At 48.9% G+C, this 13,058-nt stretch overlaps 1 protein-coding gene across 3 annotated transcripts in view, besides 8 other annotated features; it reads right to left on the minus strand.

Moving 5' to 3' along the window:
* Window positions 47–341: an enhancer, noted in NCBI's record as "tiled region #3603; HepG2 Activating DNase matched - State 12:CtcfO, and K562 Activating DNase unmatched - State 12:CtcfO". NCBI's record gives its function as "activates a minimal TATA promoter and a strong SV40 promoter by Sharpr-MPRA in HepG2 and K562 cells {active_cell/tissue: HepG2 | K562}" and the evidence as "EXISTENCE:reporter gene assay evidence [ECO:0000049][PMID:27701403]".
* Window positions 47–622: a biological region, named in NCBI's record as "Sharpr-MPRA regulatory region 3603".
* Window positions 121–622: an enhancer, noted in NCBI's record as "H3K4me1 hESC enhancer chr8:42029243-42029744 (GRCh37/hg19 assembly coordinates)". NCBI's record gives its function as "activates a minimal SCP1, AML or CMV promoter by ChIP-STARR-seq in primed H9 embryonic stem cells {active_cell/tissue: H9 hESC(primed)}" and the evidence as "EXISTENCE:reporter gene assay evidence [ECO:0000049][PMID:30033119]".
* Window positions 623–1,122: an enhancer, noted in NCBI's record as "H3K4me1 hESC enhancer chr8:42029745-42030244 (GRCh37/hg19 assembly coordinates)". NCBI's record gives its function as "activates a minimal SCP1, AML or CMV promoter by ChIP-STARR-seq in naive H9 embryonic stem cells {active_cell/tissue: H9 hESC(naive)}" and the evidence as "EXISTENCE:reporter gene assay evidence [ECO:0000049][PMID:30033119]".
* Window positions 1,770–1,849: an enhancer, noted in NCBI's record as "active region_27300". NCBI's record gives its function as "activates an Ori minimal core promoter by ATAC-STARR-seq in GM12878 lymphoblastoid cells {active_cell/tissue: GM12878}" and the evidence as "EXISTENCE:reporter gene assay evidence [ECO:0000049][PMID:35858748]".
* The window catches only part of PLAT (plasminogen activator, tissue type), a 32,848-nt gene continuing 22,903 nt past the window's right edge, over window positions 3,114–13,058 (minus strand). For all 3 annotated transcript variants that reach the window (NM_033011.4, NM_001319189.2, NM_000930.5), the window contains 7 exons: window positions 11,115–11,286; window positions 10,333–10,418; window positions 8,886–9,081; window positions 8,638–8,774; window positions 8,322–8,462; window positions 7,293–7,459; window positions 3,114–4,547 (listed from right to left, as the gene is read on the minus strand). In NM_033011.4, the coding sequence (NP_127509.1) occupies window positions 4,389–4,547; window positions 7,293–7,459; window positions 8,322–8,462; window positions 8,638–8,774; window positions 8,886–9,081; window positions 10,333–10,418; window positions 11,115–11,286 (1,058 nt within the window). In that variant the 3' untranslated portion in view covers window positions 3,114–4,388. The remainder of the gene's footprint in view (window positions 4,548–7,292; window positions 7,460–8,321; window positions 8,463–8,637; window positions 8,775–8,885; window positions 9,082–10,332; window positions 10,419–11,114; window positions 11,287–13,058) is intronic.
* Window positions 7,794–8,618: an enhancer, noted in NCBI's record as "H3K4me1 hESC enhancer chr8:42036916-42037740 (GRCh37/hg19 assembly coordinates)". NCBI's record gives its function as "activates a minimal SCP1, AML or CMV promoter by ChIP-STARR-seq in primed H9 embryonic stem cells {active_cell/tissue: H9 hESC(primed)}" and the evidence as "EXISTENCE:reporter gene assay evidence [ECO:0000049][PMID:30033119]".
* Window positions 8,835–9,164: an enhancer, noted in NCBI's record as "active region_27301". NCBI's record gives its function as "activates an Ori minimal core promoter by ATAC-STARR-seq in GM12878 lymphoblastoid cells {active_cell/tissue: GM12878}" and the evidence as "EXISTENCE:reporter gene assay evidence [ECO:0000049][PMID:35858748]".
* Window positions 11,092–11,371: an enhancer, noted in NCBI's record as "active region_27302". NCBI's record gives its function as "activates an Ori minimal core promoter by ATAC-STARR-seq in GM12878 lymphoblastoid cells {active_cell/tissue: GM12878}" and the evidence as "EXISTENCE:reporter gene assay evidence [ECO:0000049][PMID:35858748]".

The raw sequence follows: 13,058 nt of genomic DNA on the forward strand, positions 1-13,058 counted from the left end.
ATTGTTACGCCACACCTGTAACAATTTTCTATAAACATCTCATGGCCATCAAAAAACCTTAAAACTCAATGCGTACTCACTGTGAGTGTTCAGTGCCAGCTAGTGCTCCACCCCTTCTCCCTCTCAGCCGGCGTCAACTGTCTCTTCGCCTGTGCTCCCGGGTGCTCTGACCCTGGTGGTGGGACAGGAAGTTGGTTGTATACATGTACTTTTCTCTGTGGCCGGTAGGTGGGGACTCCATGCCATCAATACTCATTATTTTAATGGTTAGATTTTTTTTTTTTTTTTTTTTTTGGGGGACGTAGTCTTGCACTGTTGCCCGGGCTGGTGTGCAGTGGCGGGATCTTGGCTCACTGCAATCTCCGCCTCCTGGATTCAAGCGATTCTCCTGCCTCAGACTCCCGAGTAACTAGGATTACAGGGCGCCCACCACCATGCCCAGCTAATTTTTTTTTTTTTTTTTTTTTGTATTTTTAGTGGAGACAGGGTTTCACTATGTTGGCCAGGCTCGTCTTGAGATCTGCCTGCCTCGGCCTCCCAAAGTGCTGGGATTACAGGCATGAGCCATTGCGCCTGGCCAACTGTTAGAATTTTTTTTTTTTTTTTGAGGCGGAGTCTCACTCTGTCGCCCAGGCTGGAGTGCAGTGGTGCGATTTCGGCTCACTGCAAGCTCTGCCTCCTGGGTTCACGCCATTCTCCTGCCTCAGCCTCAGAGTAGGTGGGACTACAGGAGCCCACCACCGTGCCCCGCTAATTTTTTTTTTTTTTTTTTTTTTTTTTTAGTAGAAATGGGGTTTCACTGTGTTAGCCAGGATGGTCTCGATCTCCTGACCTCGTGATCCACCCGCCTTGGCCTCCCAAAGTGCTGGGATTACAGGCGTGAGCCGTCGCGCCTGGCCCTGTTAAAATTTTTAAAAGGAAATTTGACCAGCCTGGCCAACATGGCAAAACCCATCTCTACTGAAAAATATAAAAATTAGCTGGGCCTGGTGGCGGGCACCTGTAATCCCAGCTACTGGGGAGGCTGAGGCAGGAGAATCGCTTGAACCCGGGAGGCGGAGGTTGCAGTGAGCTGAGATCGCACCACTGCACTCCAGCCTGGGCAAAAAGAGTGAGACTCCATCTCAAAATAAAATAAAATAAAAGGAAATTTAATTTCAAACTCTGAAACTTCCTCCAAGATCCTAAGTACTGAGGATTGCATGAGTCTTTGGCTTTTGAAGTTAAGTGGAGTGAAAAGTTTATGCACTTTCTGATAAACAGACATGACTGGGGCTCTGGGAGGGTACAGTGTCACCATCCCAGAGTTCCTCTAGGTTTTCACCCAGTAAGAAGAGTTGCACAGGTACCTGGAGATCTTGTTCTCCTGGACTGTTACCATCTGCTTGTTTTATTAACTAGCTGGGAATAATGAGGAGATGATATTTAATTTCCCCTGACACCCATTCCCGGTAATGATGTGTTGCTCTTTGAGCGTGTTTTAGAATTTGCATCACTGGGCTGGGGCCCCGTCTCTCAGTCAGGGGCCTCTTCTGAGCAATTGTCTCTATCTAGTCTGTGGTTCCAAGACTGCGTGGGAGGAATGCTGGGGCCTTTTTACCTCCCATTTCCATCCCCAGGGGCCTCACTGCCTCAGTTCATTTCATTAATCCTGAAGAAGAGCTTGTCCTGCAAAGGGGGAGGGGATGAAACCAGCTGAATTTCTGCCGGAGATTCAGTGGCTGGGGGTTCCTTCGCACTGGTCCTCAGTGTTTTTTTTTTTTTCTTTCTTTCTTTCTTTTTTTTTCTTGACAGAGTCTTGCTCTGTTGCCCAGGGTGGAGTACAGTGACACAATTTCAGCTCACTGCAACCTCTGCCTCCCAGGCTCAAGCGATTCTCCTGCCTCAGTGTTCCAAGTAGCTGGAGCCACAGGCGTGCACCACCACACCCAGCTAACTTTTGTATTTTAGTAGAGATGGGGTTTTGCCACGTTGGCCAGGCTGGTCTCAAACTCCTAGCCTCAAGTGATCCACCCACGTCAGCCTCCTAAAGTGCTGGGATTATAGGCATGAGCCACCGTTCCTGGCCTCAAACAATGTTTTTCTTAAATGGCTGAGACACACATCTGTCTAAAAACTGTAGAACATGCAAGTGAGCAGTCTGAAGTCAAGAAATCTGTGACTTAAGTCTCTGTGACCTGCATTTATTTACTGGCCTAGGTACTTCAACACTTCAGGGATGTCCCCCGCTGCCTCCCCCACCCCAGTCAAGCTCTTGGGAGTTAAAGAATCTCTTTCTTTTGTGAGTTTAAACGACTTTTGTTCCAAGAACCTCTAAACTGAGCAGTTCTGACAACTCCACCAGAGAGACGACCACCTTTCTCCTCTCTGAGGAGCTGTGTCAGCATATCCCCAACAGCAGCATTGCAGCATCCGATTTATTCTTGGAACTAGGATGTCAGTGAGAACAAAAGCTGCCAGACAGCAGCCAGGAATAGGGGTTGCATCTCGCGAGTAGAAAGTAGTCTAAGAGGGCTGGGTGCAGTGGCTCACGCCTGTAATCCCAGCACCTTGGGAGGCCGAGGCAGGCGGATCACGAGGTCAGGAGATCGAGACCATCCTGGCTAACACGGTGAAACCCCGTCTCTACTACAAATATGAAAAATTAGCCGGGCATGGTGGCGGGCACCTATAGTCCCAGCTACTCGGGAGACTGAGGCAGGAGAATGGCGTGAACCCAGGAGGCAGAGCTTGCAGATAGCGCCACTGCACTTCAGCCTGGGCGAAAGAGCGAGACTCTGTCTCAAAAAAAAAAAAAAAAAGTAGTCTAAGAGAAGCAGAATGCAACATTACTTAGATAACGTACTTGTGTGGACTGGTTTAGGGGTTCAATTTCTAATGAGCAGAAAATTAAGACAATGGGAAACAGATGGCCCAAATACCAGCTTCTAGGCCGAACCAACGGTTGGGATGTTGCTGTGTTAGCAAGGTCATGCGAGGTTCTTCCTCCCTATCCCCACAGCGTTCCTTTCCTGCTGTCTGCTTGCTTGCCAGCCACCCCCTGGTTAATTTTCCTAAGGCATGCCCAGTTCCTCACTTCCCTGAGCAGAATCTCCATGGCTCCTCGTTGCCTACAGAAGTCAATTAAGTCCAAACTCAGTTTGGTGTTCAGAGCCCCCATAATCTAAATTCCAGCCTATGTTCCTCTTCCTGAAGTTCACTTCAGACAAGCTCAACTCATTTCTCCCTGTACTCCCCTCTCTTGGCCCTCTACATATTCATACCTCCATGGAGAGTGCCTTTTCCACACCTGTCCACAGTCCACGTCTCACCCAGTTATTTTTTCCTTAAGATTCTATTTTTTCCTTAAGATTCCCCAATCCCTCTTGCAACTGAATTCTACTACAAGTCTGCCCTTTTGTGACCGGCTCCACTGTACCTTGGTACTTCTCTAAATGCCATATTAGCCCATCAGACCAAGCATTCCTGTCCCTCCTTTTCCCGGTCTGGAGCACCTAGCCCATTGCCTTGTATGTTACAGGTGTTGTGTATATGTTAAGCGAGTGAAGCAGAATTCCAAATGATTTTAAAATGTGAACATGAATAAAGAGTGGGATACAGCATCTATAACAAAACCATTCCACTCTGATTTTGGAAAAACTGTGAAAAATATATCTGAATTTATTAAGTACAGTATAAAACAGGGTTGTGGCAACAGAAAGTAAAAACTAACATGGATTGCTATAAATATGCTGAAGCCTAGTTGTTCAAATGATACAATTCTCTCATGCTACTCTAAAGTTTATAAAGAAAAAGGATTTACACTTTACACACTGTACACAAAAGGAATACCTTCTGAGAGCCAGGGAGTGGGGAAAGGGGAAGGAGACTTGACGTCAAGGGTGCTTTTGAGGAACATGACGGGCCAGCCAGCCTGCCCCAACTTTGAGGCCCTGCTGGGCTCTTGTGACTATAAATATACTGTCTATTTCTAATGCAATCCGTCTTTCCTGAAAGATCTTGTTATCTTTTACTATTGAGACATGCTTTCATTTTTGTGGTCCTGTTTCCAAAGCTGCTCACGGTGACAGGTCAGGAGGTTGGGCTTTAGCTGAAAACAGGGTGGCATGGCCACTTTCTGCCCAGGGAGGAGGCATTCCTGGAGAGGCTAGTGTGCATTCATGTCTTCCCATCTGACAGAGTATCCTGAAATCAGACCAAGTCCTGAAAACTTCCAAAATGGGAAGTATCTGGGAAAATGCACTCTTCCCTCTCCTGTAGGGTCTCGTCCCGCTTCTGCGGTGTGGTGGGTCTGGAGAAGTCTGTAGAGAAGCACTGCGCCTTTGCAGTGTCTTCTGAAGAAGAAGAGGCGGGATCTCATTTGCTTTTGAGGAGTCGGGTGTTCCTGGTCACGGTCGCATGTTGTCACGAATCCAGTCTAGGTAGTTGGTAACCTTGGTGTACACACCCGGGACATCCTTCTGTCCACAGCCCAGGCCCCAGCTGATGATGCCCACCAAAGTCATGCGGCCATCGTTCAGACACACCAGGGGGCCTCCCGAATCGCCCTGCAAAGGAGATAGCAGGTTTGGCGTTTGCAAAAAAAGCAGACTATCTGGAGAAAGTCAGTATGTGTAGCATGAACATCGTAATCTTCAAAATACAGCAGGCCCTTCAATAATATTCCATTCAGTGTCATTTCATTATAACTTTGATGAGGAAAACAAAAATCAATTCCTGTCTGGGGACACTGTCTGCCTGGGTTTTGTCCAGGTACCCCGGTTTCCTTCCACATCCCAAAGCTTGCACATTAAGCCAACTGAGGATGTATCTACGTGGGCCCAGTCTGAGTGAGTGTGGGTGTTAGTGGCTCTGCAATAGGATGGTGGCGTCTGTCCAGGGCTGGTCCCGCCTGGCGCCCTGAGCTGCCAGGTGGCTCTGGCCACCCCCACCCAAGACCCTGAACCGGAATAAGCACGTTGGAAAATGAATGAATACAAAGTGTTATAAAGTAAAAATCTGTCTAGTCTGTGCTAAATACACGAATGCATGATAAACTGTGAGGTGTGGAGGCAGTCAGGGAGCCTGCCCTATTTGTGATTGTTTTTGAACTTCATGGTAGTAAGAGGTGTTCCTTACCATTTTTGCTTTGCAAACATTTATTCCCTGAATTAACCCACCACTATTATGGCCGCCATCATTCACTTATTCTCCAAAAATTGGGTAAATAAATACCATGTTTGTTTTTATTAACCTTTCTTAAATGTTGTATAGCTCACATTTATTTCAATATTGAATGTTAGAAGTGTTTTGGGTCTTTATTTAGAAGTTTGCTGATGTTTTTATGACTAGAAATATTGCCACAAGAACTTCACTCTTCTTTTTTTGTTTTTTTTTGTTTTTTTGTTTTGAGACAGAGTCTCACTCTGTCACCCACCCAGGCTGGAGTGCAGTGGCGCAATCTCAGCTCACTGCACCCTCCACCTCCGGGGTTCAAGCAATTCTCGTGCTTATGGGCACGCACCACCACACCTGGCTAATTTTTGTGTTTTTAGTAGAGGCAGGGTTTCACCATGGTGGCCAGGCTGGTCTCGAACTCCTGACCTCAGGTGATCTGCCTTCCTCAGCCTCTCAAAGTGCTGGGATTACAGGCATGAGCCCCGCACCTGACCAACTCTTGTTTATATCAATTAGCTGGTGGTAAAATTGGTTTTGTTATACGTCATTTCACTTACAGTTGCAGTTTCTAAGAACCTATTTTTTCCAGGCATGCTGTTAAGTGGAGACTTACTGAAGAGTGGGTAGATTGTATCTCAGTTATCTTGGTCCCATGGAGGATTAGGCTGTATCTATTCTGGTAAAGTAGAGTTAATTACTCAAACGTTTCAGGCCTCAAAAACCCTGGCTTGGCTCCATCACTTACTAGCTGATGGCCTTAGACTAACCATGCTTTGGTTTTCTTATCTGTACCATAGAGATAATATTCATACTACCCATAGAGTGGTTATGGCATTCAGTAGAAGAATGCATGAAAAGCACTGGAAGACATCTAGTAAAACTCTTGGTAATTGTTAGCTGTTCTTATATTGAATTAAAATGATTTGGTTTTGCTTTTAACTAAGCTTGCAGATAGATAATGGTTTCACTTTGGTACAACCTTTTTGTTTCTGGACTGTAAGCTGGTACAGCTGAGGTTGCTGAAGAAACCATTCAAAAAGAAACTAAATCCTGTCAGGGAATCAGAGGGGAAACCGCCGATATGACTGCCTTGCGAAAACAAAGCCCACACATCCTTCAGCACCAGAGCCTGGCCTCACTTCTCTTTGTATCTCTTCTACCCCCAGCCCCTAAAGGAGAGCTTCGCACGCTGCAGGCACTGAAATGTCTGAGGAAGATCAATTCCTTGGCTCTGTGCAGGTCTTAATACCAGCAGGCTGGCCTGTCCTCCCATACCCCAGTATCTGGCTAATCATGAAATATAAGTACTAATTCTGATAAGGATGCCCACACAAAGGACCTCAAATAGTGTGCTTTCCCAGGGTATTAGGGCTGAATGTGAGTTTTGAAAACTTCTTTCTCACATCATCTAGATCCTGCTTCCCAGTAAGTTGCCTTTCTTCCTTCTCCTTCTACAAAGCAGACTCCAATTCTCTAGTGCCAACAGAGGCAAACATTTCTTTCTTTTTTTTTTTTTTTTTTTTTTTGAGATCGAGTTTCGCTCTTGTTGCCCAGGCTGAAGCGCAATGGCGCGATCTCGGCTCACTGCAACCTCTGCCTCCCGGGTTCAAGCGATTCTCCTGCCTCAGCCTCCTGAGTAGCTGGGATTACAGGCATGTGCCACCATGCCAGGCTAATTTTGTATTTTTAGTAGAGATGGGGTTTCTCCATGTTGGTCAGGCTGGTCTCGAACTCCTGACCTCAGGTGAGCCTCCCACCTCAGCCTCCCAAAGTGCTGGGATTACAGGCGTGAACCACCACACCAGGCTGAGGCAAACGTTTCTTAATTGTGTGGCTCTCTCCATCACTTCAATAGTCAATCAATTGCCTGGGCTGAAAGGAAATCCTGTACAGGTGGAGTTGCCTGTGCAGATCCTGGGGAAATTTCCTGCAGTTTAGAATTCTTAGGTTTAGGTGACTTTGATCTTCCTCCAGTTGCTTTATTCTGTGAGGCCCTCATCTAGAATCCCCAGGGGTATCACTAAGAGGAAATCACTCCACTCTGGTGATAACTTTTTTCTTTGGTGAAGAACCTGTTGTCCCAGGGGCATTCTCCCCTGGGTTGTGCCCAGCATGGGCGCGCCACTCCTGGTTACCTGGCAGGCGTCGTGCAAGTTTGCCTGGGGCCCGCCGCTCCGAGTGTCTCCAGCACACAGCATGTTGTCGGTGACTGTTCTGTTAAGTAAATGTTGTGATGTGCAGCGGCTGGATGGGTACAGTCTGACATGAGCCTCCTTCAGCCGCTCCGAATAGAAAGGAGACACTGAAAGGGGAGAACCATCATATGGTTTTAGGGAAAGTTATTTATAAACGTTTTTGAAAGAGAAAGCCAAATTTTCCAATAATAGCTAACATTGATCAAGATTCAACATGTATTAGGTCGAATCCTATGACACTGCTGGTATTTTATCGTTTTGACCCACAAAAACAGCAGGATTCCGGGATTGAACCCACAGCCTCTCCGTAGTGGCACTGCTGATGCTTCGGACCAGGGAGGTCCCTGTTGTGGGGGATGGGGACAGTCCCGAGCCCTGCAGTGTGCAGCATCCCTGGCTGCACTCACTGAAGGCCGGCGTTAACCCTCACCCTAAACTGTAACAACCAAAAACGTCTCCAGACCTCGCCAAACGTTTCCTGGGGGACAAAATCACCCCAGCTGACATCCATTCGTTCAATATTATCTCATTTAACCCTCCTAATCTAATTAGGGAGATAGTTCTATCTCCACTTTACCAACGAGGAAACTGAGGCTGGGAGCAGTTCAAAATAAAAATCCATGTCCACGGTCACACAGCTCAGCAAGTGGGATTTGAAATCGGGTCTTTGTAACTCCAGCTTCCCAGAACCCACACGCTTAGCGACTGTACTCCACTTCCTACTCAGAACCTTCCCAACACCTGCAGCACTTCGAGGCCCTCATACTGTTGTGTCCTTTCCTGGCCTGCAGTGTCCCTGTGAGGCAGAGACAGCAGAGACGGGCCCCCACGACACAGGGAGACGGGACTGGCGTCAGTGCCTGACCCGGGGCTGGAACTTCGGTCTCCTGACCCCATTTTCCTCTGGTGGACCGCAGCCTCCCCTGCTGTCCCGCAGACAGGATGGGGCCGAGACTTCCTTCCACTTACAGGCCTCATGCTTGCCGTAGCCGGAGAGCTCACACTCCGTCCAGTCCGGCAGCTGCAGGTCCGCCGGGGGAAGGCACACAGTGCGGACCACGCTGCTCTCCTGGGCACAGCGGGACGAATCCGATTTCAGCTGCAGCAGCGCTGGGAGGGAGAAAGGAGGAGTGAGCTGGCGTGAGGGCCGCGTCCCCGGGAGGGGAGGAACACGCAGGAGGGGCAGGGGCTGGAGGAGGAGGCCCGTGTGTGTAAACATAGGTGAGTGCATGTGGGTGTGTTGTGTGATCTGTATGAACTGGAGCCGGGAATGACGAGCTCTTACCAATGTCATTGTCGTAAGTGTCATCATCGAATTCCTTATGGACAATGTATTTTTCGACTTCAAATTTCTGCTCCTCCTCGCCAGGGACCACCCGGTATGTTCTGCCCAAGATCACCGTCAGGTGGTGGGGCGGAAACCTGGTGGAGAAACAGCCTTAGAATGCTTTTTTTGCTGTGGGATTTCCCCTAAAGGGCTTGGTTTCTAGGCGTTAGAGGGTGGAAAAACCAACTGGGTTTCCGAGCCCCTACCTCTCCTGGAAGCAGTGGGCGGCAGAGAGAATCCAGCAGGAGCTGATGAGTATGCCCCCGCACAGGAACCGCTCTCCGGGCGACCTCCTGTGCTTGGCAAAGATGGCAGCCTGCCAGGGGTGGGAGGCGATGTCGGCGAAGAGCCCTCCTTTGATGCGAAACTGAGGCTGGCTGTACTGTCTCAGGCCGCAGGTGGCTGGGGAGGAAAGGACGAGGAGGCAGTCAGTCCCACAGGCCTCCTGCACGTGTGTAGGTAGAGTGAGGAGGCCATCAGCATGGCTGTAAAACCACAACTTTCACTTGGTGGGATCAGCATGCCGAATGTTGTCCATACATTCTCTTTAGTTCCCACAGCGATAAGTTTCAGGAGGCGGAGACGTTTTTGCCCAAGGTTGCAATGGCACCTGGATTAGTTCCCAAGTATGTTTGACTCCAAAACTGGGGATCTGCCATCCTTCATTCCTTCTAATGTTTTCCTACAGCCATTTCCTGGCCTAAGAAATGAAGAATTGCAGCTTCCTTCTGTGGAATGTCTGCTCATTTCTTTTCCATCTGTCCAACCTTACCCATGCTTCAAGGCCCAGGTGCAATCCTGCCTCCTCGCAAAGCTTTCCTGACGTCCCCACCTGCTCAGCTCTGAGGAGCTTAGGGACACGGACCACTGAGGACTCACACTAATGCCCTTGGGTGTGAGTTAGCTGGTGGTCTGTGTCTCATCGTCCCAGTTGGACTTGTGTTCCTTGGGGAACATTCTGGCTGATCTGTGTTCACAGGAGGTGATTAATAACCTACTCTCTGGCCATTTCCAAACTAAAGTTTCATTTTTTAGCAATATGCACCAACTTGAATCTCCTATCTCTCACCCACATCATGAGCCAGCTCCCCTGTGTGAAATAGGTCAACAGGAAACGTGGAAGATCTCACAGTGGAAGTACATGCCATTGGGGTCAGAGGGCATGAGGGCAGGCCCTAGCTTTACCTCCCGGTGCCCAGCGAGCTTGGGCAGGCCACCTGGCGTCTGGGAGACTGCTTCCTACTCAGTAAACTGGAGGTAGGAAGACCACCTCCACCACGCTGTTGGACAAATGTGGTGAAGGCACTTTATTATCTAAGGAGCCATGCATGCGAGGCCTCCTCCTCATTCCCCATTACTCTCAGCAACACCAATAGAGGCGTCTAGAGAGAGCCGGGTAGAGCCTACTGACTTCTCAGAGAGGTTGCTGTGTTCTTTTCTTTCTTCTTGCCCCTCCCCACCACCCCCATGCATGGGTCATGGACACCCGCCCACCCACCGTGGCTTCAGTCATGGAAGCCCCCTCCCCACCCAGCCTGGAAGTCTGGTAGGCACACAGTCTGCACCAGACAGCCATGAAGGCCTAGAAAGTGGCGAGGAGATGGTGAAGAAGGGAGACCAGGTGCAGGGAGGCAGCCGGGGCCCAGCCCTTACAGCAGGAGGGCACATCACAGTACTCCCACGTCAGCCTGCGGTTCTTCAGCACGTGGCACCAGGGCTTGGCATCCCCATCAGGATTCCTAAATGATAAGAGAGTTTAAGGTTTCCTTTTTATCTTCTTATTTTTTAATTTTTGTAGAGATGGGGTCTTGCCATGTTGCCCAGGCTGGTCTTGAACTCCTGGGCTCAAGCAATCCTCCTGCCTCAGCCTCCCAAAGTGCTGGGATTACAGGCATGCACCACCACACCAGGCCAGGAGTTTAAGATTTTCAATCCCATTTTCAGCCACATCACAGGCCATGTAAGAGTAGAAGGAGACTCAGTCAACCAATGAAAACCACTGAGCTGGGAGGGAGGACACCGAGTTCATCTTGACCTTGCAGCACACCCCCACCCTAGGAGAACTTCTCTTTAACTTTGTTACCCAGTCAGTAATGTAGTGTTCTAATCTCATAGGGTTGTCAGACAGAACTGTGAGCTGTCCTGTTACGGAACTCTTACAAATCATTGCAATAAAGATGTCAGGAGAACAGCTGAGGACTAAATGGTTACAGGCCAGGACCCTTAACTTGGGATTTAGGTTGGAAAACTGGTAGACCTTGCTTTTCACAATATGTGTTATTCTAGCAAGTGAAGAGGTTGGATTAGATAATATCCATGGGTGCTTCCCACGCACTGGGTCTGTCATGCAACTTGAGACATTGGATCTTCCCCCGTCTCACACCCTAATCCCACGTTCTGCCAAGACCTGAACCCCCCACCCCTGTGCTACCTACCGGCAGTAATTATGTTTGCCCAGGCCCAGTGCCTGGGCACTGGGGTTCTGTGCTGTGTAAACCTTGCCTATCAGGATCATGGAATTCCACGGGAGGCAGGAGGCACCCGACTCGGTGAGGCTGTGCGTGCCACGGTAGGCTGACCCATTCCCAAAGTAGCAGTCACTGTTTCCTAGAAGAAAAGAATTCTCAAACTGAAACAAAAACAAATTCTGAAGCACGCAAGTCAGGGCTGGGGCTTGAAGCGGAGCTGCCGGTCGAGGAAGCTGGAGGCCGCTAGCCCGGCACTGAGAAGAGTGTAACACCTCACACTTCCCCTTTTGTTGCCCAGGCTGGAGTGCAATGCGCGATCTTGGCTCACTGCAATCTCCACCTCCTGGGTTCAAGCGATTCTTCTACCTCAGCCTCCCGAGTAGGTGGGGTTACAGGCATGCGCCACCATGCTACGCTAATTTTGTATTTTTAGTTGAGACAGGGTTTCACCATGTTGGCCAGGCTGGTCTTGAACTCCTAACATCAGGTGATCTGCCCGCCTCAGCCTCCCAAAGTGCTGGGAGTACAGGTGTGAGCCAACACGCCCGGCCTGAGCCTTTTTCCCCCTCTTTGAGTCCTTTTACTTAGAGATGGCAAGGGGGTTTCATCTCCACCGGAAGTGGCTCCCTAGATTGCTATGTTGAGAGAGAGTCTGGGGACATCTTCAGGTTCAGCAGGAAGAACCACTTCCATGAGTGGGGGCTGTTTCTGAAGCTGCTTTGAAAGCCAGTAGGGGTTTCCTTGTGTTACTTAACAGGCTGCAGTGAACCAACGTGCTTCAGTGGGGCTGGGGTGGGGGTTATTTCTCGGACTGTGTCTGCCAGTGTCCTGAGGATCTGATGATGGGCTTGGGAAGGAGGAGGGTATGAGCCGTGGAGTGCTGCCTGTTTTCATTTATTTCCCCCATTTTTCCATTTTTTTCTCCCGACCTGAAACTGACAAAGCATACCTCTATACATAAATACCATAAATGGAAGGGATTTTCAAGATTATCTAGATCTGCGAGTCCTCATTTAGACCAGACCATGGGGGATGGGGAGGATATTGTAGAGTGACTGTAAAGTCTTCAGAGTCACAGGCATCACCCGTGGACCTGGGTGCTGAATGCATATAGCTGGTGCGTGTTTATATATATCATATATAAATTTAATATATGTGTATTACATATATATATACACACACCCACACACATATTTATGTATTTATTTTGAGGCAGGATCTCACTGTCACCCAGGCTGGAGTGCAGTGGCACAATCATTGCTCACTGTGGCCTCAACCTCCTGGGCTCAAGCGATCCTCCCACCTGAGCCTCCCAAGCAGCTGGGACCATAGGCACAAGCCACCACACCTGACTAATTTTTGTATTTTTTGTAGAGATGGAGTCTCACTTTGTTGCCCAGGCTGGTCTCAAACTCCTGGGCTCAAGCAGTTCTCCCGCCTCAGCCTCCCAAAGTGCTGGGATTATAGACACGAGCCACTGCACCTGGCCCTATATATATTTAGAACTTAAAAAAAATCTTTCATAGTGCTGTGATAAATGTGATAAGTAACGTAATGATTTGTATAAGCACCACTGAATTCATAGTACCTTTCTGTAACTTAGCATTTCATTTTTTTCTTTTTTTTGAAACAGTTTTTTGTTCTATCACCCAGGCTGGAGTGCAGTGGCATGATCTCGGCTCACTGCAACCTCCATCTCCCAGGTTCAAGCAATTCTCCTGCCTCAGCCTCCTGAGTAGCTGGGATTACAGGTGCCTGCCACCGTATCCGGCTAATTTTTGTATTTTTAGTAGAGACAGGGTTTCACCATGTTGGCCAGGCTGGTCTCAAACTCCTGACCTCAGGTGAGCCGCCCGCCTCAGCCTCCCAGAGTGCTGGGTTTATAGGCATAAGCCACTGTGCCTGGTCTTG

Source organism: Homo sapiens, chromosome 8 (genome assembly GCF_000001405.40).
Source record: "Homo sapiens chromosome 8, GRCh38.p14 Primary Assembly".
Lineage (NCBI taxonomy): Eukaryota > Metazoa > Chordata > Mammalia > Primates > Hominidae > Homo > Homo sapiens.